Source organism: Homo sapiens, chromosome 17 (assembly GCF_000001405.40).
Source record: "Homo sapiens chromosome 17, GRCh38.p14 Primary Assembly".
NCBI lineage: Eukaryota > Metazoa > Chordata > Mammalia > Primates > Hominidae > Homo > Homo sapiens.
In genome coordinates, this window is record NC_000017.11 from 19,081,274 (window position 1) to 19,085,467 (window position 4,194).

General features: G+C 46.3%; 1 pseudogene; it reads left to right on the top strand.

Moving 5' to 3' along the window:
• Positions 1,586-3,138, top strand: KYNUP2 (kynureninase pseudogene 2; annotated as a pseudogene).

Consider the following 4,194-nt stretch of genomic DNA (forward strand, 5'->3'; position numbering starts at 1 on the left):
GGTGGATCATGAAGTCAAGAGATTGAGACCATCCTGGCCAACATGGTGAAACCCTGTCTCTACTAAAAAAATGCAAAAAAATTAGCTGGGCGTGGTGGCGGGCGCCTGTAGTCCCAGCTACTTGGGAGGCTGAGGCAGGAGAATCACTTGAACCCGGGAGGCGGAGCTTGCAGTGAGCTGAGATTCTGCCACTGCACTCCAGCCTGGCGACAGAGCGAGACTCTGTCTCAGAAAAAAAAAAAAAAAAAGAAAGAAAGAAAGAAAAGAAAAGATGTATTGAGGCTGGGCGCAGTGGCTGAAGCCTGTAATCCACCAAGGTGGGCGGATTGCCTGAGCTGAGGAGTTTGAGACCAGTTTGGGCAACATGGTGAAACTCCCGTCTCTACTAAAATACAAAAGAAATTAGCCAGGCATGGTGGCATCCGCCTGCAGTCCCAGCTACTCGGGAGGCTGAGGCAGGAGAATGGCTCGAACCCAGGAGGTGGAGGTTGCAATGAGCCGAGATTGCGCCACTGCATTCCAGCCTGGGCGACAGAGCATGACTCCATCTCTAAAAAAAAAAGAAAAGAAAAGAAAGGACTTGGCTGGGCACGGTGGCTCACGCCTGTAATCCCAGCACGTCGGGAAGCCAAGGTGGGTGGATCACGAGGTCAGGAGATCGAGCCCATCCTGGCTAACACAGTGAAACCCCGTCTGTATTAAAAATACAAAAAAATTAGCCAGGTGTGGTGACGGGTGCCTGTAGTCCCAGCTGCTCGGGAGGCTGAGGCAGGAGAATGGCGTGACCCCAGGAGGTGGAGCTTGCAGTGAGCCGAGATTGCACCACTGCACTCCAGCCTGGGCGACAGGGCGAGACTCTGTCTCAAAAAAAAAAAAAAAAGAAAAGAAAAGAAAAGAAAAGAAAAGACTTATCGAGTGAATAATGAATAAATGAATGAATGAGGAAATGAATTTACAGATGGGGAAGTGAATTAATGAAGTTAAAAGCAAGTACATGGAAGAAAGTGTTTGTTTACCTGAGTCTGATTAGGGGAAGGAGCCCTGAGTGGAGGCACTGTCGTTTGAGGTGGTCTTGCCTATACCTTTGTAAAGAATGCTTGAGAAGTTTCTTGAGGGGTTCTGGGAGCTGAGGATCACATAAGAATTCTAGCCGAGAACAATTTGTCAGCTGTCACAGTGCAGAGCATGATGGTTGAACTCAAATGCCGCCAAGCAGATGACAGGGACAGTTTCCACCTAGTTCAGGAACATAAGCTAAGGCACTTCAGGGAGGTTTTTTTGTTTGTTTGTTTTTAATTTTTTTGAGACAGGGCCTCACTCCGTCACCCAGGCTGACTGCAGTTGTGCGGTCTTGATTCACTGCAGCCTGGAACTCTTGGGCTCAAGGGATTCTCCCACCTCAGCCTCCTCAGTAGCTGGGATCACAGGCTTGCACCACTATGCCGGCTAATTTTTTAATTTTTTTCCAGAGAGGGGGTCTTGCTTTGTTGCCCAGGCTGCTCTCAAACTCCTGGCCTCAAGTGGTCCTTCCACCTCGGCCTCCTAAAGTGCTCAGATTACAGGCGTGAGCCACCGTGCCCAGCTGGGGAGTATTTTTATGTCCCCAAAATGCAGGATCTGCCTCCAGTTGATTTATCTTTAGTGAATAAGGATGAAAATGCTATCTATTTCCTGGAAAATCCTCTTGGCCTTCAACCAAAAATGGTTAAAACAGATCTTGAAGAAGAGCTAGTTGAGTGGGGCAAAATGGGAGCCTATGGTCACGAAGAAGGCAGCATCCTTGGGATACAGAGATGAGAGTATTGTAGGCCTACAGAAGGACTATAGGAGCCTACGAGAAAGAAATAGCCCTAGTGAATGCGCTGACTGTTAATCTACATCTTCTACTGTTACCCAGGGTCTCACTCTGTTGTCCAGGCTGGAGTGCAGTGGCACAATCACAGCTCACTGCAGCCTCAACTTCCCGGGCTCAGGTGATCCTCCCATCTTAACCTCCCAGGTAGCTGGGACTACAGGCACACACCACCACGCCAGACTAATTTTTGTATTTTTTTGTAGAGATGGGGTCTTGCCATGTTGCACAGGCTGGTCTCGAACTCCTTGGATTACAGGTGTGAGCCACCGCGCCCAGCCTTAGTCCAGTTATTGTTTAAGCCTATACCAAATGGTATAAAATTCTTATAGAAGCCAAAGCTTTCTCTTTTAATCATTATACTGTTGAGTCACAGCTACGACTCCATGGAGTTAACATTGAGGAAAGGGGATTATAAAGCCAAGACGGGGGAGGAAACCTTAAGAATAAAGGATATTGGCCGGGCGCGGTGGCTCATGCCTGTAATCCCAGCACTTTGAGAGGCCGAGGCCGGTGGATCACCAGAGGTCAGGAGTTTGAGACCAGCCTGGCCAACACGGTGAAACCCCGTCTCTACTAAAAGTACAAAAATTAGCTGGGCGTGGGCGTCGTGGCAGGCGCCTGTAATCCCAGCTACTCTGGAGGCTGAGGCAAGAGAATCGCTTGAACCCGGGAGGTGGAGGTTGCAGTGAGCTGAGATCGTGCCATTGCACTCCAGCCTGGGGGACAAGAGAGAGATTTCGTCTCAAAAAAAAAAAAAAAAGAAAAATTAGCTGGGTGTGGTGATGCATGCCTGTAATCCCAGCTACCCAGGAGGCTGAGACAGGAGAATCACTTGAACCCAGGAGGTGGAGGTTGCAGTGAGTCAAGATAGCGTCACTGCACTCCAGCCTGGGTGACACAGCAGGACTCCATCTGAGAAAAATAAATAAATAAATAAAATAAAATAAAGGATATCCCTGAAGCAATTGAGAAGGGAGGAGGCTCAATTACAGCAATCCTGTTCAGTGGGCTGCATTTTTATACTAGGCAGCTCTTTAATATACCTGCTACCACGAAAGCTGGACAAGTGAAGGGATGTTTTGCTGGCTTGATCTAGCATGTACAGTTGGAAATGCTGAACTCACTTACGTGACAGAAGAGTTGACTTTGCCCACTGGTGTTCCCACAATAATTTGAATGCAGGAGCAGGAGGTCTGGCAGGTACTTTTTCCATGAAAAGCATGCCCGTATGATTAAAGCTGTGCTGCTGGGGTGGTTTGGCTGTGAACTCAGCACCAGATTTGAGATGGATAACCAACTGCAGTTAATCCCTGGGGTTAGTGGATTCCAAATTTCAAATCCTCCCATTTTGTTGGTCTGTTTCTTACAGTTTAGAGATCTTTAGGCAGGCAGCGATTAAAGCATTGTGGAGAAAATCTATTTTGCTGACTGGTTATCTGGAATACCTGATCTAGCACTGCTATGGCAAAAATAAAGCAGAATCTAAGAAGCCAATGGTGACCTGGAGGTGACCATTACTCCATCCCATATGGAGGATCAGGGCTGCCAGCTGACACTAACATTTTTCTGTTCCAAAGAAAGATGTTTTCCAAGAGGTAGAAAAAAGAGGAGTGGTTTATGACAAGTGGAATCCAAATGTCATTCAAGTGGCTCCAGTTCCTTTCTATCATTCTTTCCATGATGTTTATAAATTTATCAATCTGGGCTGGGTGTGGTGGCTCACACCTGTAATCTCACCACTTTGGGAGGCCGAAGCCAGAGGATCACTTGAGCCTAGGAGTTTGAGAACAGCATGGACAACATAGTGAGACCCTGTTTCTACAAAAAAACAAACAAAAAAAAGTATTTTTAATTAGCCAGGCATGGTGGCACACACCTATAGTCCCTGCTACCCAGAAGGCTGAGGCAGGAGGATCACTTGATCCCAGGAGATCAAGGCTGCAGTGAGCTGTGATGGCACCACTGCACTCCAGCCTGGGCAAGAGAGTGAGACCCTGTCTCCAAAAAAAAAAAAAAAAAATTTATCAGTCTGCTCACTTCTGTACTTCACTCTGCAGAAACAAAAATTAGCAGTGTTTTCTAGAACAATTTAAGCAAATTATACTGAAAGCTGATGTGTGTTTTTTTTTTTACCATTATTCAATTTTTAGTTATTGAAAGTATTTTACAATTGATTGCATGTAGCTGGCAGTAAGTAATATACTTTACAGAAAAGAAAAATAAGTAAATGAAACAACAAGTAAGACTAAGGAGTGATGGGGGGGCTAAGGAAATTGCTTTTATTTTATACAAGTTTATTGAAAACCACCTGTACTTATCCCTGAGAGAGGATGCAGATA